Raw genomic sequence first — 26,768 nt, 5'->3', positions numbered from 1 at the left:
TGAAAACAAAGACTGGTCCGGCTCAGAATCTTCCAGAGCTTTACTGGTCTGTTAAAAGGGCATCCTGGAAGTAAGGAAAATGTCTCAAGGCCTGCTCAAAGCTCTGTCAAAGGCTCGTATAGATTATGCTCTGCCCGGTATTGTATAATGACCCTTTATGTAGCCAATACTTTCTACTCTAAAAACCTAAATCTCATGACCTACCAGGAAGTGTGATTGCATCCACAATTTTCAATATCCAAAGGAGATGTTTATATCTAACAATTCTGGTCCATGATCTTGTGGGTTCTTGAAATGCCCTGGCCATTCTTTTTGGGTCAAGGTATTACTTATTTATGGGCACCAGACCTATTTTTCAGAATTATAGGTGCCATGCATAGAATTCAATATCAGTGGTTAAGAGCTGCTACAGATATGGGAAAACAAGGAATCCTAGTACTGACTATTTGACTTGGAGGTCATGTATTTTTTTAGTTGACTAGTCAAATCATGGCTCACAAAGCTATTGTATTTAGCTAGAACTCATTGGCCCAGGAAGTGTTTTTTTTTTTTTTTTCAAATGTATTAACATCATTTAAAAATCAGTGTCTTTTAATCCTTTAAAAATATGAAATAGAGGCTATTTTGGGCTGGCATTTCTGTTTTATAATGATTGGCTGCAGCTGATAAATACAGCTCTTTTTAGATGGGACTTGTTCTCTAATTTGACGTGGTACTCGCCACCTCCTAAAGGCTCTAACAAATATAAATAATATTAGGCTAAGATCAGAGATAGCATAGAAATTCTTTTTTTTTTTTTTTTTTTGAGATGAAGTTTCACTCTTGTTGCCCAGGCTGGAGTGCAGTGGCATGATCTCGGCTCACCGCAACCTCTGCCTCCCGGGTTCAAGTGATTCTCCTGCCTTAGCCTCCCGAGTAGCTGGGATTACAGGCATGCACCACCATGCCCGGGGAATTTTGTATTTTTCATAGAAATGGGGTTCACCATGTTGGTCAGGCTGGTCTCGAATTCCCAACCTCAGGTGATCCACCTGCTTCGGCCTCTCAAAGTGCTGGGATTACAGGCGTGAGCCACCGCACCTGGACAGGAATTCTTTTTAAAGGCAGTAGTAATTGACTTATAAGGAATCCAGTAGGGAGTGATGGGGTCTGGACAGACTGGAGAGGGCATGACATTCATCCAGCCCACCTGGCCCTGTTGCAACTGATAATCCACCAGTTCCCCAGTCACAGCTAGAAGTACTTTACAAAAAAGGCAGAGCTAATTATCCAGTGATAAAAGCCCTGCCCTGGAAACAAAGAAAAAGGGGGCAAAGATCCACCTTAAGGTGGATGCTCAGTAGAGTTGCTCCCAGTTCCACTGAGTTTTCCTAATTTAAGCCAACCATCATGTGAGTATTGTGGCTTCTTTATGTAGAAGGCCCTGCTGGAGAATGGCCAAAACATTTGCTGCTCCATTTTCAGGGAGGTGTGGCATCTTTGTTTAAAGTGAGCCCTCCAACCTCACTACTTTTCAATATTAAAAGAATGAATTTTGTTTTTTCCATTAAAAAAGTAATGCATGCTTATTATGGAAAACTGGGAAATACATTAAAGTAAAAAGAAATTTAAAAATTACCAAGATTCACTAACACCGTTAGTAATTTGGAGTAGTTTTCTTCTAGTTATTTTGTTACACACACACACACATACACGAATGCATGCACATATGCACAGATGCTCCTCAACTTTTGATGGGTATTCATCCTGATAAAGTCATTATACGTTGAAAATATTGTAAGTCGAAAATGCATTGAATACACCTAACCGTCTGAGCAGCATAGCTTAGCCCAGCCTACCTTAAACATGCTCAGAACACTTACATTAGCTTACAGTTGGGCAAAATTACCTATCACAAAGCCATATTTTCTAATGAAGTGTTGAATGTCTTATGTGATTTATTGAAAACAGTACACTGTAGAGAACAGAACTGGTTGCTTGCCCTTGAATTGGTTGTTTGCCCTTGTGATGGTGGGGCTCACTGGGAGTTGTGGCTCCTGGCCACTGCCCAGCGTCATAAGACAATATTGTACCACATAAGGCTAGCCTGGGAAAAAGTCAAAATTCAAAGTACAGTTTCTACTGAACATGTATTATTTTCATACCATTGTAAAGTCAAAAAGTTGTAAATCAAGCCACCATAAGTCAGGGATGATCTATGTACACACATTTTATACATATATGCATTTATTATAGATTTATATATAATGATCCTATGATATTAGTAACATGACAAATACTGATTATTTTCTGAACACAGGCATAATGTATGCTTAGAAATGATAGAAAATAAAAAGAAATATAAATAAATCACTATAAATCAGATAGAGTCCCACCACCCAGTGCCAACATAATTTACTTATTGATATATTTACTTATTCTTTTATCTACACATTTTACACACACACAATCCTGACTTTTAAGCATACTATACATCAGAATAATCACAGTCCTAGATAGAAGATAAATAGAAAGAGGATTTGTGATAAATGCAAGCTACTGCTAAGTAGTATATTAGTGTATATTTTTAAAAATCAATAATTCAGATCATTCAGTATAATTTTTTTTTTGAGATGGAGTCTCGCTCCCTTGCCCAGGCTGGAGTGCAGTGGCATGATCTCGGCTCACTGCAACCTCCAATTCCCAGGTTGAAGCAATTCTCCTGCCTCAGCCTCCCGAGCAGCTGGGATTACAGGAGTGCGCCACCACCTCTGGCTAATTTTTGTATTTTTGGTAGAGACGGGGTTTCACCATGTTGGCCAGGCTGGTCTTGAACTTCTGACCTCAGGTGATCTGCCCACCTCGGCCTCCCAAAGTGCTGGGATTACAGGCGTGAGCCACCGCGCCTGGTCAGTATAATTTTAAAATAACCAGAAAATGACTCAGAATCCTTAAATGACCACTATGTTGCTCTCTGCAACTGAAATTTGAAGTCCACACCTACAGCTCTGATTTGGTGCATGTCTCAGCATAATACCACACTGCTCCTCACTGGTCTACCTGCCCTTCAACATGAACTTCATCAAATCCATGTTCTACAGGACAGCTCTAGTCATCTTCTGAAGGGTGACCTTAATCTTCCTCCCATACATCCCATGGCCCATCAATGGCTTCTCCTTTTCCTTAGGATGTGGGCAAATTCCTTAGCAATGGGACACACAGTAGTTCTAACCTCATAAGAGATGGTATGAGGATTCAGTGGGTTAATGCCTGCAAAGTGCTTTGATAGTACCAAGTGCACAGTTAGCATTGAGTGAATGTTAGCTATCATTATTCCTCTTTCATCACCTTCATTCTTTCCCCATATAGTGTAGGACAAGGCTATGGTAGCCCTAGATTTGTATCATTAAGGTCCAGTCCCTGACAAGGAAGACATTTTCTCTCTTTACATTTCTGTCTGGAAATTAAAGAAAAAGACTGCAGTTGGTCTGGCTTGAGCCATTGCCTACACTGGTGACTGAAGTAGGGTTGGAGTCTGTTATCAAGAGGTGTGGGGGACATAGGATGGTGGCCAGGATGATCGATGGAAGGCAAAGACCCAGATGTCCATGAATCTCGTCTCCTTTCTATCCTGTCTTGTTCTCTCATGAAGATTGTTCCTCGTTCGTAAAAGACTTATCTTCTCTTCTTGTAGTCTATCAAGGATCTCATACAGTTCCTTAATCCTGTAATTGTATGCCCCTCCTTCAAGTCTTTAGTACAACGTTCCTTCTTCCTCAATCTGGGGTATTTTGCACAGGTCCTTTGCCAGGTGTGTTTGCTTGTATAACCATTATGCCAAGCAAGTAAACCCAAGTGTGTCACCAGTAAGAAATTTCATTCCTTTTTTCCATTCCCTACTTTTCAGGTTATTGTTAGAAAATAGAAAGTCATTTTGTAATTTCCCAGCCTAATAATTAGTAGTCCCAGACCATTGTAATATTAACAGCTTCCAAATTACTGTAAAACTAAAGCTTCTTCCAGCCCTCAACTCAGTTTTACTTTGGGCTGACCAGTGGCAGGGGGAAAATGGGCTTCTTTCTCTTTCCTCTGTTGGAGCTTCCCTTCCTCCTCCTGTGTTCACCAGGCTGCCTTTGGGGGCTGCACGAGATGTTATACTGCAAGAGAGTAACTGCAGAAGCAGACATCAGAATCTGGTTATCTTCCACTAAGCACAACATTAAAGAACTTTGCAAAAAATGTAAAACAATTCCACTCTTTTTACTAATTCTTTTTTTTGGAAAATATAGTTATTTCCCATAATCATATGTTATTTATGTTAGCACATCATAGATTTACTGTTCTTAATGTAAAATAAATTAATACATACATTTTAAATTCTCTATTTTAATTTTGAGTATGATAATTGTATTTTGTTAAGTCCCACACAAGTGAAGCTCTTTGTGGTCCTCAATAACTTTTAAGGGTGTAAAGACATCCCGAGACCAAAAGGTTTGAGAACCACTCTTGAAAGACTTTGGGTCTTAGGATATTGATGTGCCTGTTTTACACTTTATGGCTGTAACTCAAATATGTAGATTTGTACTTCATTTCATTTCTCTGTAATGGTGGTCTTCTGCTGTTGTGAGCTCTGAGATATGCAGTCTTTGGAGATAGCCTTTAAATTCCTAGCCAGGGTACTTGTCTTCTGGGTATCACTTAGGAGCTCTGGAAGTCTGGGGTTGAGTGAAGGACCGTCTCTCTGTCCTGACAGACAGTAGTCCTGTCTCACTGCTGTTTCCATGTTTCCATCACTGTCATGATGGCATGGAACATTCATTAGGAATTTACCTCCCTAAGATCTAGGCTGGAAGCCAGGCAGAAATGTGTTCTACCCTCAGATTCTCCAATCTATCTGGAGGATTCAGTTGTCCACTTTCCCCGCTCCCTCTTTCCCTACCAGCCCACCCCATAGTGGGTGATCAGGACATCTCAGGGATTCACATATCTTGCTTTCTTTCTGCCTTCTTTGATTCCACTTGAGGTTTTTCCCCAGTGCAGGAGGATATTTCTCTTTGCCTTGTATAGCAGGACATGCTCTTCCACCATATCCTATATGCTGTCTACTCTGTGGCTTATTGTAAAAACTCAAGCTTTCCAAGCTTGGCTCATTGATACTAAAAGGTCAGCTTTCATTGTCAGAGAAAACACTTTCTCTTTCTACTATAAGGCTCTTGCAATTACATGACAATTTTTGCCCTGTGGGCTTGAAAAAAAGTCTATTTTGAAAGTCAAGGTTGAACAAAGACTTCTTCCTCTGGTGTCTAACTACCTTTTCCCTGAGAGCAGAGTAGATGGAGGGTGACTGTTGTTTGGAGTAGTGAGGAAAAGAGTATGGCAAAAGGAAAGGGGGGTGGGTAGAAACCACCACAGTGTGAAATCGTTACATGTTGTAGGAGAATATCTTGATGCGATTCCACAGAATCTACTGTTAGCATTTCATATCCACTGTCCTGTCTGGAGCCCTGAGGTTGGAACTGAAGAACAGATGATCTGTTTATGGGATACTTTCTCAACACTTCATAGATGTCTTATCATAAAGAGGTTGTTCAGTGTACATGCTCTGAAACCACTGGCTTCATATATAATAAGTCGGCTGCAGAAATGTTTCACCTGCCTTAAAAAAGAACACTTTGATGGTTTTATCATGGTGATAGGGAAGGGGACCTTCCCAATCATAAATTCCCAATCTTTTGCTCTAAACTCAACATGGTGACTATGGTAGTCATTGGTGCTGCTCACTGGATATTTTCCATTATCCTGCAGTAAGGTAGAATCACACTTCTTGGATCCCCTTTGGTGGGGTAGGTCCGTGTGGCCAGATTCATACAAGAAGATGTGAGTAGAAGTGGTATGTGCCACTCTCTGCTGCCATTTAATTGTCCTTGTGGGGCCCCCTAGAGTTCTCTTTCTTCTCTGCCGTGGACGATGGTAACATTGCTGATAGAGGCTGCTTCCCTATTTCTGGGCTTTTGAGTAAGGATGGGGAAGTACCACAGAGGTCCTCGCTGATCTACAGCAGAGTGGGAGTGAAAAATAATCCTTTGGTGTCTTAAGGAGTTTGGGAGTTATTTATCACCATAGCAGAATCCACCTTATCCTGCCTGATTCAATGACTCCCTCTCATAGACTACCAAGAAGATTGGGACCCTCCAGGAAAACCACCCTGAGCAGCCCTTTCTCCTCATCTCTCATAGTGGCCGCCATTTTGCCTTCCCGAGAAGCTGCACTGGAGCAGCCCTGCCCACTCTGTCCTCCTGCTGTGCCTGAGGAAATGGATCTTGTTGTGTATTCCCATCCTTTCCTTGTTCTCCATTGACTTTAAATTTTGACACTCTGGTTTGGGGAATCCTTAGAGATTCATCTTTATGATGCTGTCCAATAGCCACATAATTTTTCTTCTATTAAACTTTTTTTTTTTTTTTTTTGAGATGGAGTCTCACTCTGTTGCCCAGGCTGGAGTGCATGCAGTGGCGAGATCTCAGCTCACTGCAACCTCTGCCTCCTGGGGTAAAGAGATTCTCCTGCCTCAGCCTCCCGAGTAGCTGGGACTACAGGCATGTGCCACCACACCCGGCTAATTTTTGTATTTTTATTAGAGATGGGGTTTCATCATGTTGGCCAGGATGGTCTCCATCTCATGACCTCATGATCCGCCCGCCTCGGCCTCCTAAAGTGCTGGGATTACAGGCGTGAGCCACCCGCGCCCGGCCTTCTATTAAACTTTTTGAGTTTATACACCCTACCTCAGCTTTCTCCTCATTTCCTAAATGCTTAATCCTCTGTACACCCATTTTTGTTCTAATCTTGTCACTGAAGCTGGTTGCCTAAAATCGTCAGGCTACATAGACCAAGGCTACTCTGATCCCCAGAGATCCAAGTCTTTATTTTTGTCATGGGGTTATAAAATTTCAAAACTGGAAAAAAAAAAAGGCAAAATGGTATGCTTCTCAAGCATTAATGTGCATAGAGTCACCTAAAGATCTTGTTAAAATGCAAATTCCAGGGCCCTACCCCCAGAGATTCTGATTAGGAAAGTCTGGGGTGGGCACTGGGAATCTGCATTGCAATGAGCTCCCAGGAAATGCTGATGTTTCTCCTCTAGCGACCGCACTTTGAGTAGCACTGGATTAGATGACAGTTTTTAGTTTTCTCTAAGTCTAAAATAAAGACAATGTACGGACCCCCTGCCTTATGTAGCAGAGGAGATCTTCTCCATGATTGCCGTGGTGAAACAGTAAGAGTAGCTCTTCTAAATGCTCCAGGAAAGAAGCATTAAGGTACACACACTTGGGAATAAGGGCAAAAGCCTTAGTATTCTACCTTTGCCACACATCTCCAGAACTTGGATAGAGGCTGGAGGCAAAAAAAAAAAAAAAATTCTCTCTTCTTTGTGGAGAGAGTGCTGGTCCTGCACACACATATGAGCTCTATTTCTAATGGCAAAACACTGTAAAATAATGAACTGCTGAGAACTTTCTGTGAAAATGTATTATTTGAAATTTCTTTGAAAGGCAGTTTGTAGATTTTGGGAAATCACAAAAAAGTCAAACAAAAGAGACAGTTTTCTGAGGACCTTGTTTTTCCTCTCATTCAATATTTTTGCTTCCTCTATAGCGATTTGTTGACACAAGGGTAGACCATGCTGACAACTGGGAAGATACTACCTCATACGTGATGGCTCCAGCTAAGGGTTTTCTCCTTCTCCACATCCACTCTACCCTTCTGCCATGATCCACACCAGCTAAGCTCCCCAATTCCTTGTCAAGTCTTGGCAAAGTCACCAAAGCCAAGACTAAAGAAGCTGAGACGCATTTTAAAGACTGCCTCGTCTGGACTACTCATTTTGTTTTAAATGATAATGTTGAGATTTGAAGAGGAGAAATAAGTTTTTCTAGATCACATAACAAAATTTTGGCAGAGCCAGTACAAGAAACAAGGTCTCCTCACTTCCAGTCCAGTACTCTTCAACGGCATCCTGTTTTGATAGGGATGGGAAAGTTAAGATGGACAGGGCTGAGGAAGACAGCAGGATGGGTGTTTCACAAGCCCTTTCAGCTACCTAGAAGCCCAGATACAATGTGAGTATTGTTTTGTGATAATTAAGTGATAAAATATCAGACACTGGAAGGATCTTGAGTCTATCAAATTCTCCGATGGTTACAGATGAGAAAACCAAGGCCCAGAGATGACATTGGTCAACACATCCAGCACATAAAAGTCATTGATTCCCTTATTCTGGTACTTTCAAGGCACCCCTTTTCCAGCCTCTGCTCCCAAACCCTTTCTCGGTTTTCCATTCCTAACATTTGTAGCCTAAATAGTGAGTGTCCGAGGTCTTCTTAGATCCTTGAAGGAAATCTTTCTTGCTACTCCCTAGAAGTTTTGAGCTTCATTCTCATGCTAAACCAGAGAGGAGAAAGAAGAAAATTAGTGTTCAAAGTGACACTGCAGGCGGAAAGCTGTCCAAAACTCCCAGAGTCTCAGCTTCCAACATGAGTTTTTTGTTGGCCTTGACTTGTTAATGATGGTGTATTAAAACCTCATTTATTCAGATCTCACGAATTTGGAATTAGTGACAGCTGTGGTCAGGGTCTGAATGGAGGTTTACCTTTGAGGACCAAAGAGAAAAAGTTGAACAAATTGTTAAAGTTAAGAATATTTAAAGGGAGATATTTAGCCTATTTAAGAAAATAGTCTTTTAAAGTATTTTAGAAGCACCATTAAGCATATTGAGAGCTCTCTGACCCATACCTCTTGACCGTTTTAATTTTAGTCACATATTATTCTTACATATTCAATAAGGAATATTTCCTGAGAGTTTCTATTAGGGAACATGTTTTAGTCTAATTTAGTCATTATATGTATGTTTAAGCATTATAATTAAATTACACTTCGCTAAAAAAAATTCCCCAATTCAGAATTTGGGTTTTTTTTGGGGGGAGGATGAGGGTTCTTTCCAATAATGGATATAGATTAATGAAGCTTTCCTGTACTTGTCATATATGTATGTGTGTGTGTGTGTGTGTGTACTAGCTATGAGTCATAATAGGTTAGAGACACTATAACTTAGATGTAATTGCACTGCTATAGTGATTGTTGTAATGAGTAAATACATTTCAGAGTATGTGTGGTTATGGGTTATAATGTACAATAATAAACAGGTTTGTAACTTTGTCCTAAGTAATGAATGCCAATGACAGGAGAAAATGAGAGGATTTTTGGAAATAAGTCCAATGCCTTCAATGAGAAGAGTTTTATTTACAAGGGAGTTGGGGAGTTGCTAAGAGAGTGTGACTGACTGTGGATTCTAGGAACTGTGGAGGTGCTGACGTTGGGTGTTTAGACAACTGTCCCATTTGGCAAAACTTTGTTTGCTGAACCTGAGCCCACTGGTATTGAGGTTCTGGTGAAAATTCAGAAACAGAAAACAGATGACTTTAACAGCAAAAGTGAACATGTGCCAAAGAAATAATATTAAAAACATGTCCAGAAAAAGAGAGTCTTGAACAAAACTCCAAATCTAAATCAATTTTCATGGTGCAATTTGATTCTCTGGGTTAAACGGCCTGGATACTTAACTGGCTGTCCTCCAATTATCCATGGTAACTACAAGAACTAACTCAAAGACCAGACTAAGACCTAATGTCCAAGAATATTAAATAGTTCTGGGCTAAATGAGGATGGATAAGGAGGCAGAACTTCTGTTAGGTCGGTGCAAAAGTAATTGAAGTTTCTGCCTTTACTTTTAATGGCAAAAACTTTTAATTATAAAATAAAGCCATTTCAACTTTTAATGGCAAAAACCTCAATTACTTTTGCACCAACCTAGTAATTCTACTTTGAATTAGTATACCTTGTCCATTGACACTTGTCCTAGGCTTGTCTTCCCACATTCCTCATAGTACCCATTGTAGAAAGCATTATTGTGGTTTAATTGGTATATCATAACAGTCACCCATTGCAAGTATAAACTTTTGTGATTTTTAGTAAATTTATGCAGTTGTACAACCATCAGCACAATCCAGTTTTAAAACACTCTTTTCACCCTCAAAGTTCTCTAGCTCCTATTTGCAGTTAATCTTTGTTTCTGCCCCCAACTCCAATGACCTTCTACATTCTTTCTTGCTTTTTAATTACTTTTGGTTTTGACTCTGTAAAAGTCAGCATGTGGCTACTTAAAGAGACACACGTTATGTTGAAACGGCTTTATTTTTTAATCCATAAATATCTGTTACTGACAAAAGTGGAAAAATCCTTAAGACTAAATCTTACTAAAGTGTATCTGTTTACAGTACATGTAGAATGTGCTTTGACAGGTAAGTAGAACGATGAGATTTGTACAGAGAAGCAGTTACTAGAGCACTGCTTACCATGAGGCTTACATATGAGTAACGAAGAAACTGCAAAGATACAGATAGAAAGGTACTTTTCATCAGTACTACCATATAATAAACATGGAATTCATAAATTGGGCTAATGCATAAAAATGTTCATTAATCCCCCCTTAGGAAATTGTGTCCCCAAACTAAAAATATTACAGTAAGAATTGCTTTTTATTAGAGAATTTCAAGAATTCTTTACTACAAAATGTCTAGTTGAGTTATAGAACTAGAGGAATATTTGCCACTACAAAGCCAATGAATGAGTCCTCCCATGGTGTGGCATTCAGGGGTCACTGCAGGGTGGGCAGCAAAGTTGAGCAGGGTCTTCTCCTCCCTCAGGAGGGAGAGCATTAAGGAAACACACAGCCACAACATTATTTCTCTGACTGATGGAAGGTTAATGTGTTTGCTGATTTACAAGATGGGTTTGAATATCACAAACTTGGACTCTCCATTCTTGCTTCACAAGCCTTCACCGGGAGGACGGTAGTGTCATGACGAAGGGCTACAAAGGTACTAGGATGGGATGAGTGCCCCTTCCTAGCAGCCCAGATGGAGATGCCTCCTCCTCCAGTTGGAATGGAGCCTCAGTGTCCAGACTTGGTCTTCAGGACACATATTCCAGAGTGGGTTATCATGACATTCATTGCCACACAACAGCCTGTGAACACGTTCCTCTGCAGCTTGAAATGAATTTCCCAGCTGCCCTCAAGTACAAACTTCATGCCCTTATGGGCCAACCTCCAGACCTTTCTCTCCAGCCAGCTCCCTCTCTGAAATTGGAACCGCCTCCCTCCAGCTATAAGGACCGTATCCAAATGGAAACTCCAAACTCAGAATTCCCCAGAATTCCACAGTCACTTAGGATGGTTTAGGTGTGTCTTTACAAGAGGGCTTCCATGGCACACAGTTGGTGACCTATTGAATGGTTAGGCCCTTAAACTTCAGGTACGAGGGCATCCCTGGGTGGCCGAGCCCATCAGGCCCACCCCAGGCTCTAGTGAGGAGTGCGGTGGCTGTCCAGGACATCTGAGGACATCGCTGTGGGGCAGGCATTGTGGGATGTGTGCAGCTCAGTGGAGGTGGGGAGGAACGGGGAGAGCAGGTGCTGGCAGGGAATGAAAGCCCTACAGTGTAAGAGCTGGATGAAACTTCAGAGCTCATCTAGTCAAAGCCCCTCATTTTACAGATGGGGAAACTGAGGCACTGAGTGGGGAACATGACTCCCCCTCGGAGACAAAGCCAGGGCTGGAAGCTGTGTCTTCAGAGCCTCAGCCCTATGCTTTTTTTCTCCTAGAGTATGCTGCCTTCCAAAATCAAATATAGAGCCCAGGAAGACATGTCCTTCATATTGAATCTGCCATTAAAATGCTGCATTTATAAAAAATAACATTGGAACCCTGAAAAATACTTCATTAAAACACAATGCGCTTTCTTGAAAATACTCCAGAGCAAAATTTCCCAGATTCGGACAGGATGACAGGAAATGTATGTGGGAGGTAACATGCCAGCTCTTCTCAGGGCAGGCACCTTCTGGAGTCCGAGTGATTGGCAGCCCTTTCATTTTACCTTGGGTCAAGTGCACAGTTGCCTGTGGAAGGAATATGAAGTTGGAGGCTGGTGACAGACAAGGTATCTCTGAAGAAAATGGATTGAGTTTGATGGCAGGGATGTTGGCATGGATATTCCTCCATGCTTGGAGACTCAGGAGGCCCTCAAGTCTTTGTGGACAAAGGAGGATAAGTGACATACACAAGCAGGAAGGGGGCAAGTGTGTTGGAGCAGTGGCTGAGAGCCCTCAAGGATAGGAGTCTTTGGCCAGAGCAGGAGCTTCTGGGCTAACATCAGGCTGGGTTGGGAGCTTCAGGGGACTTGCTAGTGGCAGGAACCAAACTGACTATCACAGGCCATGACATCTCAAACCCAGAGCTCCATTCCCTTCCCTCCCAGAGCTCAGAGGGGAAAAGCCCTTGGCTCCGTGCACTGGGGTATCAACTCACAGGGGCAGGAGATGAAGGATACACCAGTGAGGCAAACAGAAGACCGAAAGAATGTCTTATTCTTCCATTGTTTTCATTGAGAGCTCTGATTTTTAGAGCTGGAGATTATAGCAAGACCAGGGAAAAGAAATTAGGAATGGAGGAAGGTGAATGGAGGAAGGTAGATGGAGGAAGAGGGAGATGAGAGGAAGGAATGAGTGACCTGGCCTGGAAATCTGAGGTTTTCTGGAAATCAGGAGTTTCTGGGAGGGAGAGTGGAAAGAGGGGAGGAGAAATTTGAATTGGGGGCAAGGTTGGAACTTTCTAAGAGGCAGTCGTGTGGCCCAAGACACTCCCAAGACACTGGGGGAGCCCTGAGGGCAGAAGCCTGGTTAGGAGGTGAAGTAATTCTTGGCAAAGCCTTTTTGACACAGGAAGGCATGGAGCCAGGAGCCTGGAGCAAGACAGGGAAGGTGGAGATGCAGGAGGGATTGTGAAAGCTTCAATGCCATCAGAGGCCAAGGAAACCAGGCAGAACTTTCAGGGCAGGAGAGAACCTGTGCAGATTCCAGTTCATTTCTGTTAGAGCAACAGAGATGTGCAAAAATGAATAAAACAAGGAGAGGGAAATCTTGGGCTTTAGGCTTCCTTTGTGAGCAGGAGGGAGGCTTTTACTGTAAGGGTGGATGGTACTTCTATGTATGGTAGAGGCCACCAGCCTGGTTGGGCTAGAAATCATGGCATCTAGGTTCCAGCCCCAGAAGCCTCTTTTATCTGCTACGTGAACTTGCCTATTGATGTGGCTTTGCTTGTTCCATGAAGATGGATGGGACAGCTGAATAAATGGGATACCTCTCTGTCCCAGCTATGACATAGTTTTCTGGATTTTGAAATGTGGGACTGAATTGGAGCAAGTCTGTAGACCTATCTCTACTTCTTTTTTCTTCCCTCCTCCCCTCCCTCCCTCCCTCTCTCCCTCCCTTCATTCCTTGCTTCTAGACCCAAAGGTGAAGCAGAAGAAATCCTTGAAAAGAAGTAAGCATTGCAGTAGAATTTTCCAACCCAACTGACATCAGAGCCTTTCAGCCAGACAGTGGTAAGGCTGGGATGAGAAATGTCTTGGAATCAACTCATCAACAACCCCTGAGAGAGACAGAAACCCTGTCAGAGACAGGGCTTGGGGAGGACCCCTGGGGAAAAGTGTCACCCTGGGGGCTGGAGAACTTGGTGCTGAGAAGCTTTGACACTGGAGATGGGATCAGCTTTCTGGTTTGGTGTATACCTGCATGTAGACACCTGGGAAGGGCATTCTCAGCCACTCAGGTCCTTTCCCCTCACCACCAGCATCCTGCCTTCCAAGGGATGGCCACAGATTAGACGATTCAAAGGTGCTGGGCTCAGGGGCCCAGCTGGGAGCCACCTGCTCTATTCAGACTCACTTCTTCCTTTCCAACCCTCTTAGCCTCACCTTCTGGAACAAACTCTTATAAACCCCTGGGGACCAGCCCTTAAGAAGGTTTATGTGTCTGTTGGGAGGAAAGCAGAGAGGGTAGTCCCTGGCCTTCCAGCCGCACGACTCCAGGAATGCATCCCCAGTGTGGGGTCTGACAGTGGCTTTCACAACCCCCAGCCTCCATCCCCCTAAGATCCAGGGTGATGGTTTCCTGTTCCTGTTGGGAGGCACACCCTGCAGAGGGGAGAAGGAGATGAGAGCTTTGGAACTCTTGAAATCAGTGAAAGGACACAGTCCATTGCTTTCTCTGTGGTTTGTGGACTTGGTTAGATTAAAAATCTCCAGGGCTGACACCAATAAATTCTCCTTCTACACTCGCCTTTTTAAAGGGCCATGAGTGCAGAACTGAGGGCAGGTAAAACCCCATTTATAAGGGCACTGCTGTTGGATCTGACTGTTTTTAGGATCACACCTTCACCCAATAGCCTGGAGTTGATTCCCCCAGCCCCAACCCAGCGGGTGCCCTGGCCCTGAGAATGAGGGAACCCCTTCTTTCCCCCACCAGGCTCTCTGGTCTTGGGGGAGCGGATGCTGCTGAATTCACTGTCACCTCCCCAGGAGGCCGTCACACCATGCCAACCCCCAGGCTGGAGGCGGGGAAGAGGCTGAGGTGGGCGGGCAGTGGCGGTCCCCCAACAGAGCTGAGGACCATGGTCTACCAGGTACCCCAGTGCCTGCACAAAGGGATGATGCTGTGGGGACCTGCCCAGTTAGCCCCTAGGCCAGTCGCCTGGAGGACCTTTGTTTGCTTTTGCTAATAGGTCTTTGTCCCTTTGATCCAGAGGAGGCACGGATCTGAAGGATCAGCTAGGAGGAATAAAGTTGCAGGGAGGATGTGGGGGAAGGGGACACAGGCAGTAGGAGTGATCTCTGAACTGAGCAGGTAGACAGAGATGGGGAAGGAAGGATGAGCGGAGAGGATGCAGGACAACCACCTCTCATCCTCCTTGTCTGGGGGCTGAAAAGCTGCTCTCTAGAAACTTCTGTCTAGGTCCTGCCGGAGGTGCATGTGGGAACAGGTGGAGCCCTGCAGGATGCGAATGTTGAGCCCGAGACCCCGCACATCACAGTGGCCCTCCCCACCCTGGCTCTCTGGCCACCGCAGGTGCCTCCTGGGAGCAGAGCAGGGGTGGAGAAGGCAGCCTGAGTGGCAGTCATGGTCAGGTCTAGAGGCCTGGAGGGAGTGCGGAGATGATCGGGTGTCTGGGAGGGCCAGCACCCCATTGCTACTCCCCTCTGCGAAGGCTACAGCCAAAACCCCAGAAAACTCAAGGGTGAAATCCTCAGGGCCAGGGAAGGAGCACAGCCCGCTGAAAGGACAGGCCCAGGGTCCTTATGGGCGGGCAGTCAGCTGGAAGGGGGTGGAGTTCCCACCAATGGGGAGGCAGCTGAAGGAAGGGAACCCCTCCTGGTCCTGGAGTTGAGGGGAGGGGCACAGGGCCAGGGTTGGGCCCTCAGGGGTCAGCAAAGGAAGGGTCACTCAGTGGGGACCAGAGAGTTCCAGCAGGCAAGAAAAGAATCATTATTGTGCTTATGGACACAGCAGCTCCCTGGCTCTGAGAGAGCGAGCAGGCAGTTTTTAGGCACTAGGAGATTTCTGTGATGCGGTTCTAGATGAATGAATGAGACCGAGTAGCCTATCCGGTCAGCCCACTGATTGGACCCGCTGGCCCCTTCAAACCCAGGCAGCTTCAGACCACAGTCAAGCAAGGGTCTCTCTGCTGACAGAACCTGCAGCTGAGTCCCCCGGATGGGGAGAAGGAGGCGCGGGACGGAAAGGGAGTTGGTGAAGGTGGTCGGGGGTGAGAATGGGGCCTAGCCCCCTCCTCACTCCCCACTGATTCTTCTGGAGGAGCAAGAGCGATTGCTCTTGGTCCTGGGTCTAAGTGTATTGGACCAGGCCATCGGGGCTGTGTCCCCGGGGGTATGGCTTTTTGGGCAAAGGTGGCCCACCCCCACTTCCTACAGAGGGGACAAGGGAAGGGAGAGTGGCAAGGCTAGAAGCTCTGCTCCTGGCCCCTCCCGGCCCCCGCTCTGCTCTGCCACGCCCAGCAGCCCCGGCCCTGCCCCGCCGGTCACACGGTCACTTCGGTCTTGCTGGCTGTGTAGCAGGTGTGGTGGCCCGGGATGTAGTGCAGCTGCTCCACCGTGTTGTGTCTGCGTGAGGCAAAGGCATGACGCTTGGCTGCCGTCTGGCTCTGGCCCAGGGTGGCGTATGAGTTATTGGAGGCACTGGGATGAGAGTGCATCTTGCTCATGCGGTAGCGGTCCAGCACGGGTGTGGACACAAAGACGTCCGTGTGCGAGATGGCCCTGGACAGCGACTGCTCGGGAAAGGCCGTCCGCTCCGGGGACAGCAGCGGGTCCTGGGAGTGCAGGCGCTCCGTGGAGAGCAGCTGCTCGTCGGACAGGATGCGGTCGTAGGGCATGCTGAACTCATCTGGCAGGCCCCGATCCGGGGACAGGACCCTGTCCTGGGACATGGCCCGGATGGGCCGGCGGGGTCGTTCCCTTGGCAACGGCTTCTGTTGGGACATCTGGATGACATTGAGGGGGAGGGTGCCGCGGGCAGCCAGGTCGGGCAGGTGCCGCCGTCTCATGTAATACTCGTCAGCCTCCTTGTCGGCTGCAGGGGAGAGACAGAGTGAGAGAAGGCAACTGGGGTGACCCTGCAGCCAGGACTCAGATAGAACCCTGCCCCGCTCCTGCTCCATCACAGACCTGTCAACCTTAAGGGATAATACAGTCAAACTCCTTTAGTTATGGATTAGGACAGACGGGTGAAGGGTGTATTTTCCCATTGAATGTGCAAACCATTCTCTGGGGGCTTGTTAAATGCAGATTCTAATTCAGTGGGTCTGGGGTGGGCCCAAGAGTTTGCATCTCTAACAAGCTCCCAGGTAATGCTAAAAGCCTCTGGTACATAGACCACCTTGAGTAGGGATATGTTAAGGGACTTCCTCAGAATCCCCAGTGTGTTCAGGGCAGAGTTGATAGCAAGCCCAAGTCCCTGAACTCCGCCTGGTCCTGGGCCGTATCTACCACACCATGGTCCTGAAACAGAATGACTATCTGTCTTACTAAAACATCCAAATAGCAGCTCTTGAAGCTTCCTGATGAGGTCCAGAGCCAGCCTCCGGCTAGAATAAAGTAAGATGCTCAGACTAGGAAACACTTGTGAAAATGTTTAACTGGTAACTTAGGAACATCGTAACACCTTCTCTGTAGTAACAGGCAACGCATAGAAAGCCAATACATGGGCCTCCAGTCCCCACACAGCCACATAATCAGCCTACACACACTCCACCTGTGCCCATAACGCAAGCTGGTTGGAGTAATCTTACATGTGCGCCTCATTTAGATGCTCCACCTTTCTCTCTATCCAGCAGGCCCTCCTAAGCTCACACTGCTCTCTGTACCCTTGAATTTGCCTGGAACTTGCATGCTACAAGCCTACTTGGACTTGCATGCTACAAACCTACTTGAACTTGCAGGTTACACACAAACCTGCATTGCCCCAAATTTCAGAAATGAGGCCTCCTACACATGGCCTTCTAGATCTCTGCAAAAGTGTGGGAATTCTGTCTGCTCTTCAGTTGGTGCAGCGGGGTCGTTGATGGGTATCCTTCCTCCTGAGCCAAATTTCATCACCTCGGGATGATTCCTCAGGTTATGATAGTCCCGTCTCTAGCTAGAGACTCCACGTTTCACCATGGAGGTGGCTGATGTGGACTTGGGCTGCACTTCTGTCAGGGTAGGTTACCCTGAAGCTTTCAAGCAAATGCTCAGCCCTTGAGGCTCCAACTGCAGTTGGGTGGTCATCAAAAGAGACTCCTGGGAAAATGGGAGGAGAAGGTCCAAGGCCAGAAAGCCAGGGAGGAAGAGCTGTCCTTTAGGGAAATTTTTTGACATTTTTGTATCTTTAACCCATTGATGCCCAGAGTCTCCCCAGACTCAAGAGGCAGAGCTGGCATCACTGGATAAACTGGATTGAACTGGTGAAATGGGGTGTATGCATGGGAGGTGAAGGATCTCAGGTCCTCAAGACACTGTTGGCTGGGTTGGAGAAGGAGCTGGTTTGTGGGCCTCTGGGAGAGGTCTCAGAGAAAGTTCTGGCCATTGCTAGCCTCTATCCAGTATAGGGTATACAGCAAGGAAGGCCCATGGTTTGAAGAAGGCAGTTGCGTGCGGGACTGGGAGAAGGCTTTCTCCCGCAGTTAAACTGGTGCATGAATTGGAAGGCCGTCTCCTATAGGGATGTGAATCTGAGGATTCCATGGTCTTCTTTCTATGTATGGAAAGAATGGGCTCAGTCCATAAGGAACAAAAGCAAAGAGCTTGTCTATTCTCTTCTCTCATCCTGCAACTCCTTCTTTATTCTTGGGATTTGACAGCTGTCCTATGGGGTATGGAGCAAGAGAGTGTGACATAGGAAGATATCTTGGAGCCCCAGAGACAGACCCCAACTTGGGGGAAATTCAACTTACTTAGCCTCTTCAGAGATGAATACTTGCTGGGGTTGGTCTTTACTGCAGACTCGTAGGATGGGGGCAGGTGGGCCAAGTTCTGGAACGAGCGGGAGAAGGAGAGGTCATAGGGCTCGGTGGCTGATGTCAGGATGTTGTTCATCCGTGGCTTCTCTGCAAGAAAAGGGAGGGGTGTTTTGTATTAATGAGGACCATGTCTGTGGCAGGTGTGCTTTCTGCCTCACCCCTGATTCGAATCCCCATCCTCCTTTCCTGGACCTCTGTGCTTGGACATAGGTGATACTATTGACTCAGTTTCCCTCATGCTCAGTTCCAGTTGTCAATAAGCCTAGGGGCAGATGCTGTTTTAGCCACCACCAAGACAGTTCACCATTCTGTGAATGGGAGACTCGACTCTTGAGTCTGAGGAGCGAATTCTCTCTCTCAGTACATCTCTGGGTTATCTGCTGAAAACGTAAGCCTGATGGAGCTGAGGGGCATCATAAAAATCATCTACTTCTGTGTGAAAGTGCTGTCCTTTTCCTAATAGCTTTAGGCAAACCTAGCTCTCAGGCTCAGAAAAATCTTGAGTTGGAGGACATGGAGTGACTTATGTTATTTATGTACCCATAGAAGAACTGAGTCCAGGACCCAGCTCCACTGAGACCCAACCCATGCTCCGTCCATGGCATCCTTCCACAGCTCATGTAGCCCCTTTCTCCTCTCCAAGCTCTGCACCTGACAAGCCACAGTGAGCCACAGAGCTATTTTATCTTACTCTAATTCCTTTCTCTGAAGCCCCCTTAGCCATCTCTAAGCTGCTGGAGGAAAGAATCTAGACAAAAATGCATAGCACATCATCCCCACTTTCTCCTTCCTTCCCCTGAGATAGAGCATTGAGGTGCAAGAATCTGAAGAGATGGAAAGGAGTGTTGTTCATTGCCAGAGCTGGGGAAAAGAATGGAAGGAAAAGTGGGAGAAAAGGTGAAAGGGAGATGAGAGGATGGCTGATGGGAGCCCAGTGCAGTGTGCGCTGGGCTCAGGGCCAGATGAATGACATCTGGAGAGGGGGCATGCAGGGCCGGTGAGGGAGGCAGTGAGGATGAGGGGACAGAAAGAGCTGGAGATCCTGGGGAAGAAGACAAGCATGCCTCAGTGCTTCACAGACTTGAGGAGGAGAAGCCACAACAAGTCAATGAGTGGCTGCCATGGGAAATGGTGGTACCATTCCCAGAAGTGAGGCAGTTGGAAGGCTATAGTCTCGCTGTGTCATTCCTCCATCCTCTTTTTGTTTGGGACACCTCAAGGCCAAAGAATTTCTGAGAGGGGGCAGGCTCTAACTTCGGTCGAATGTGCAGGAGGACTGCCACACCTCTTGGCAAAAAGAGTGTGGAAACGTGGAAAGCAGGAATTCTGTGGACTGTGTGAGAGGTGGGAGACAGAGAAGCCCTCCTAGGCATTGTCCAAGGGCAGCCCCAAGCACCGGGGACTCCTGACTTTTCTACCCCTTCCTGCCTTCATTGTCACCCCCAACACTGGGGACTGAGCCAGGGAAGCTCAGCCAGTGAGCTGGTGTTCATGCCAGCTCAGGACATATGTGAGGGGGTGGAGGGTGCTCTACATCCCCATTAGAACATGCTGTACAGAAAGAGCCTCCTTGGCATGCATCAGGACAGATGCCAGGAAGTGGAGTGAGCAGGAACTTGGGAGTGCTGCTCCTCAGAGGGAGTAATAGCCACTCATCTCTCAGCACTTGTCTCTTCACTTTGGCTATGCTGGAGAAGAAGGAACCTCCTTCTGCCTGTTGGCATTATACTCTCAACAAGGCATCACTCAGCTCACCCACTTCCAAATGCAATCTTTCTGGATACTCTTGTTCCACCACTGTGTTACAGGACATACCCCTGAGCCAAGGCCAGCTCTCCCTTGCCTTCTGCCTTCATGGGATACTCTCCCTCCTATAGAAATGCCTCCTTTACTCTTCTGTATGAAATTCCCGCCTCACTCAAGACATTTTGCTGTGCCAATGTCCCATCTTTTTAGCCAACGACAATATCTGTTCTTTAAGCCTGTATTGCTCTTCTAGTCAGTTCCACCCACTTTAGTATCTAACATCTCTAATAATTTGACTTGAGTTGGGATTGTGGATCTCCAAATATTGCAATCTCCTTGACAGCAGGGCCTTGCTTTCCAATTTTTTTTGAATCCTTCATAGTGCTTGGCCCAGAATAAGGATCCAATTAATGCTCTTTGTGGAACACTAATTAAGTAGACTCAGGCCCCCTCCTCGCTTGATAGTCACTCTGCCAGCTCCTGGGAAAGAAGGGAACATCCAAGAAAGCAATGCAGAGAAAACTCTACTCTCACTACATTGTGAGCTGCTCAAGGGCAGGGACCAGGTCTCATCAACCCCCATCTCCTTGCACCAGTTGGAAAAAAGAAGACAGGAAGAGAAGGAGGGAAGAATGGCTCCTCCTGTTGTATTCAGGAGTCTGCTTGTGTTGGCTCCTTCTCAGGAAAATGAGCTGGGTAGTGTGACTGAGCAAGTGGGAGCTCTCCTTGCGTGCCTTTTCTGGCTCTTCCTGAGGCTGCTTCATCACTGTGGGCATCCCCCAGGCTCCCTGCCTCTGCCTTCTGCACTTCTCTTTCAGTGTAGAGTGCCCCCACTCCTGAGGCTTCTGTTACTGCCTCCAAAGCTTCACTCACATCTTCAGCTCTAACCTTCCTCCAGACTTCATGTCTGCATTCCTGCCTGTTGAATATTTTTTTCTTGCAAACTCCAGGTGTCCAGATCCAAACTCACTGACAACTCCATCCCCCATACATACTGACTGTTTTCCTGATTCCTTAGATTTTGTTAATAAAACCCTTCATTTTTCTAATCAGTGTCATCATTGGCTCTCATCAGCCACATTCAGTTAGTAAGGAACTTTCTCCAATTCTTTCTTCAAAAGGTTTCATATCTCAACCGTCCTTTCTTTTCCCACTGTCAACATCACCACTGGTATCAACCTCTTTTCACTGATCTCCCCAGTTTCTCCCAGTTCTAACTTTTTAGACCCCACAACCTGACAAATCTGATTATACTATTGCTTTCATCATTTATTTCCACCTGGAGCATAGCACATGAAAATATTCCAATCTCTTCCTCCTAATTATAATATCCCTCAACTTCAGTGCTGAGGCACACCATAATCTGACATAACAGTGGTAGGTCTCTCTACCAGGTAGCCTGTAGGATTTATCATTGTTTTGAGTTTCTCTCTCACTAAAATTTTAATGATGTTTTCACTCTTTCACAGCAAAGAGACAAAAATGACTGATAATTCGCAATTTATGTGGCTGTCTTATGTTCTATCAAGTCTTGAGCAGGTGCCAAAAATAGATTTTCTCTGTTCAGCTGTGATCTGGTGGGAGGATATTATAATCTAAGAGGGAAACATAGTTTTATAACCCTTGGGCACTATGCTAACACTCCTCCACTCAACAATTTTCAGCCTCTTTTTTCTGCCAAGAGGCTAAAGCCCAAATCAGTTTTGAGTTTTATCAAATCTTAATTAGCCTGGGGAGGATCATAAAGTTTAACCAAGTCTCATGTCTTTCGTAAATGATATCACAAATAGCTTTGAACAAAGGAGGGTGTTCCACTCCTTGCTGTGGACATATGGAATTTATGACTGTAAGAAGTGATACAGGTGGCAAGTAGAAATGGGTCTAGCCCCTTTCTGTTTATGTCAAGAGATCATTCTGATATCGGAGACAGAAACACCAAGGGGAAAATAGCCTACAAGTGAGATTAGAGCATTGTGGCCCTGGAGGAGGGCGAGCCTGTGGCTCCTTGGACCTCCTTAGCTTCAGTGAGTTTATGACCGTGTGTTTGATGCCCTGATAGGCATCCATCCTTAGAATGGTGCCACTCGAAATAAGGAGGAAATGCAGAGTGCTCTCAATCATCTCTCACCATGTGGCGGGATCTGGGTAACACTGCTCAAAATCGGATGGTTATATTGATGATCACCTGAAAATCATAGAAAAGAAATTTTTAAAGAAGAGTTCAGGCATTCCACTATCTCTCCAACATAACAGCATCTCTCTTTACCTCTAATGTGCTTCTCTGACTTAAAGGAAGCACTTCTAAGAAAGGCAGAGGTCATTGTATGAGGCTCCAAGAAACGTCCCCTGCTGTTTCTGTCTCTCTCCTTCTGCAACAGGGTTTCCTCTGTCACCATGGTGACCCACCCACATCTCGGGATGAGGCCAACTAGTTATAGAGGCTTCGTAGGGGTGGGTGGAAGAGGAGAAGGATGGAGAGTAGGGAGTGTTTGGCAGGTATGCATGCATGCGTGCATGGACAGGGTGGGGGAACTAAGCCGGGGAAGCAGATTTCATTGAGTGGTGGGTATTAGGGTGTGGTTAACCAAAATGAGGGTGCCCTGACTTAAGGCGCTTCCACTTTACAGGACTCTGATTTGTCCCTAAGCCTTTATACAGGAGGGTCTGGATGCATCCTGAGATGCAGCAAGATGACCTGAGCTGTCCACTGCCTGAGATCAGGAGTCCTGGATTCTAGGCTCTGTCCTGCCTTTAAATGACACAGTCTAATAGTTCAAAGGCATTTCCTTTATTAATAATATTCCACTTAGATGGAATAAGCCACACAATTAACACAGTTACAGTTGCCAAACCCTGAAGTTCAAGGCGTTCCAAAAGCTTTTAAAATTGTTTGAATGAAAATGTGGCTGACCACTACAGTGCACTCTGGCATTCTATGATTGCTTCAACTGAACATTATGTTCTTGTTTTTCATTGTTGCATGTATCTGATTTCAACTAAAGCAAAGGGAAGAGGAGGCATGAGGCCTTTGCTTTAGTTTACCTAAACCGCAGGTTACAGCCCTGTCCTTCTTGCAGTCTAGAATATCTGCTTTCATTTCTTTACATCTTGTGACTGAAGCCTTCTTTCCTGCCTTTGGCCTTATACTCTGGCTACTCATTCCATAGCTCCTTCACTATGTCCCATTTCCCCTTCTATTCTGTAAATACCAGGGCTTCATAATGCTCAGGCATCTTTGTGAAGACTTCAGCTCTACTCCAAGGTTTACATCCACTTGCCCAGATTAATAGTTCCCAAATCTACAACTCTAGCTCAAGGTCCATCTTGATCTGTAGGGTTAGATTTTATGCTTATGGACATGCCCTTGAAATTCCTACCCTCACCCCAAATCATTAAGTCCCAAAGTGAGCTCCTCATTTTATTCTGGTGTCCAGGCTTCTGTCCATGGTACTGTTGTTCCGTGGGCCTGGAATGTGAAACTTCAATCATCGTCACCATTTTCCTCCTGTCATTCTCCATATCCAGTGTATCCCAAAGTCCTCTTCCCTGTAGCCATCTCCTAAATCCAGGCCCATAATAGACCTTTTTGTCAAGATTTCTTTTAGCTCCACTCTCAATTTCCAAGACAAATCCTGTGAATTCCCACCAGACAAAATTTCCCAAACCAATGGAATCATCCAGCATTCCCTTGGTGAAGGCTGAACTCTAAATAGTCAAGCACAACAGGGCCGGGCGCAGTGGCTCACACCTGTAATCCCAGCACTTTGAGAGGCCAAGGCAGATGGATCACCATGTCAAGAGTTTGAGACCAGCCTGGCCAACATGGTGAAACCCCATCTCTACCAAGAATACAAAAATTATACAGACATGGGGTGGCATGTGCCTGTAATCCCAGCTACTTGGGAGGCTGAGGCAGGAGAATCACTTGAACCTGGGAGGCAGAGGTTGCAGTGAGCCGAGATCGCGCCACTGCACTCCAGCCTGGGGGATAGAGCAAAACTTCGTCTCGGAAAAAAAAAAAAATGTCAAGCACACTATCCAGTGGGGGTGGGTTTGGGAAGTAGGCCACAATTTCTCACATGAAGATACTGTCCCTTCGCAAGACAGATTAGGTTGAAGCCAGGGAAGAAACTGTTTGCCAAAGATTGAAACAGTTCTACACTGGACCTGAATTTAAGCAAGAAGAGAGAATCCAGAGAGATTAAAAAACATTTTTTCTTGCTTGTCCTCCAGAGGCAAGAAGAAAACTAGTTCCAATGAGGTTTTGTTGTTGTTGTTGTTTGGTTTATTTGTTCGTTTTTAAACAATATGGCAGGATCACAGAGAAATGGGAGAAACCCAGGTCATTCAGTCTGGAGTTTCTGGAGAGTGGCAGTCAGTAAGAAACACTTCTAGACTTCCATCTCAGAGTTGAGGTATCACCAGGAAAGGGTTATTTATGACTCAGATTCACTTAATAATTGCTGATAGCCAATTAGGCTTCTTGCTCTGTGCTGAACACTTTCATAGGCATTTTAAAAAAACTCGTCTTCACAATGATCTTCATTTAAATGAGGACTGAAGTAGAATGAATATATATTATTGGCCTACCATTTGCCAGACACTATGTAGAACTTTTTAAACACCTTAATTGAAATCTTTGTTGTATTTTTTTAACAGATGAAGTCACAAACAATATATGTCTTGATTTACAAGTACAGTGCTTTTCCTTTTGTTTGAATCTCACTTAAAATGTTTCATTAACAGCGGATTTTTTCCTACCTTGGCATTAAGGAGAACATTTTTAAGTTAAGTACAAGGATGAGAATAACCCTAAAATAACCGCTGTGACATTTTGTTGTATTTCCTTTTATTACCTTCCGCCTGTGGATGATTATATGAGTGCTTACATACACCCTCAACCCCAACTCCCCCACCTAAATAACATTGCAATGAATAATCTTGTATATGTGTCATTTTGTACAGACTGTAGTTTTTAAAATGAATTAAAATAGCATGATTTAATCTTTACATGTATGCAGAATGACAATTGTGTGAGACAATTGGCTGTGGCATTTTTATAGTAGTAAAAGCGATGAAACCACCTAAATGCTTATACATACATTTACTTATGCACACAGATAAAAATATCTAGTTTTTGCATAAGTAATCATGCTGCATATACTACTTTAATCTTCTTCATACCTAATGAATAAATGAAAGTGTCTTGAGTATATTTTTATGTTTTGAAATATTATTTGAAACACCTTATATGGTTTCACAATATTCTATCTATAGAATAGTCTATTCTGTATGTCTATATATCATTTAAGCATAATATATTTAAGCATATTTAAGCAGGTCCCCTATTTTTGGTATTTAAATTGTTCAAAAGTTTAATAATGTGACATCAAACAACCCTGAGCACACATCTTTAGCGATGTCTCATTTCCTTAGCCCAATAACTAAAATCAGCATTTCTAAGTCAACACACTGTCAGTTGCCTAGCAATGTGACAGGGTAGATTGATAGATTTCCTCATGTTGAACGATTCACTTGTCTATTACTGAGAAATATCTTATTTGATTCTGGTGTCTTATTATTTTATTACAACACTGGATTCTATTTTCTTGTGATATATGTATATATATATATATATATGAAATATGCATTCATAAATAACATTTGTATTTTTTGTGCTAACCCTGTCAAGCTTTTGTATTAAGATAATTTTGTAAAACCAAGTGAATAACTTTCCATCTTTTTGTATGCTTTGAAACAGTATAGCATGAAGCATCTGTTTTTTGGATGTTCGGAGGAATGCAACAATAAAAACGTGTAGTGTCTTTTCGGGGGGTCCTTCTATTGGCACAGGGCTAAAGGCTTGGCTTGTGTTATTTCATCAACTGCACAACACCAATTTTGGGAGGCAGATTGTGTTGTTATTGCCAGTTTAGAGATAAGGAAACTGAAGTTTGGAGAGTTTGAATATTTTGCCGAATGTTGCGTAGCTAACAGGTGAAGCTGGGATATGAACCCAGGCAGGCTGGCGCTAGGCCCACATTCTTAACTATGTAATGTTATGTATATTGCCTTCCCATACTTGGCAACACAATCCTTGCATAGTGATTCATTCAAGCTTTCCAATTTCTAAATTCAATTTGCAATTTCAATTTTTCTTTAAAAAAATCCATTGGACATTTTAAACTTCCTTAGCTTAAAACTAAAATATCACTCACAAAAATCTTCATATATGAACTTGGATCGCTTTTCTTCTTAATCTTCTGTGTCAGTGTTTTCTGGATTAGTAATTTATTCATATTAGTACTCTTTCACAGAATTACCTCTTATACATATCAGTTCTATAATTTTTTAACTCTTCCCATCATTATTTTACACTTTTGAATTTGCTAATTCCTGCCTCCTAATTTTCTTTGGTTTCATTTGTTATTGTTTTCTCATTTCCTGGCTTAAATCTTTGATGCATTTATTTTCACTCTTTTCTGTTAACAATATAAGGTCTTTAACTATGAATTTCTCTCTGGCACTATTCCATGAGCAACAATACACAGTGTTCTTATTGTTGTTATATCCT

General features: G+C 44.6%; 1 protein-coding gene across 3 annotated transcripts in view; it reads right to left on the bottom strand.

The window, feature by feature from the left end:
* Window positions 1–10,211: 10,211 nt before the first annotated feature.
* Window positions 10,212–26,768, bottom strand: part of SHISA6 (shisa family member 6) — a 322,851-nt gene continuing 306,294 nt past the window's right edge. For 2 of the 3 annotated variants that reach the window (NM_001173462.2, NM_001173461.2), the window contains 2 exons: window positions 18,383–18,535; window positions 10,212–16,521 (listed from right to left, as the gene is read on the bottom strand). In NM_001173462.2, coding sequence (NP_001166933.1) covers window positions 15,971–16,521; window positions 18,383–18,535 — 704 coding nt within the window. In that variant the 3' untranslated portion in view covers window positions 10,212–15,970. Of the gene's footprint in view, window positions 16,522–18,382; window positions 18,536–22,322; window positions 22,380–26,768 lie in introns of all 3 variants that reach the window. The other variant, NM_207386.4, reaches the window with a different exon arrangement.

The sequence above is a fragment of the Homo sapiens genome, chromosome 17, assembly GCF_000001405.40.
Source record: "Homo sapiens chromosome 17, GRCh38.p14 Primary Assembly".
Classification (NCBI taxonomy): Eukaryota; Metazoa; Chordata; class Mammalia; order Primates; family Hominidae; genus Homo; species Homo sapiens.
Note: the sequence above shows the minus strand (reverse complement) of the source record. Positions and strands in the feature narration are given on the sequence as shown.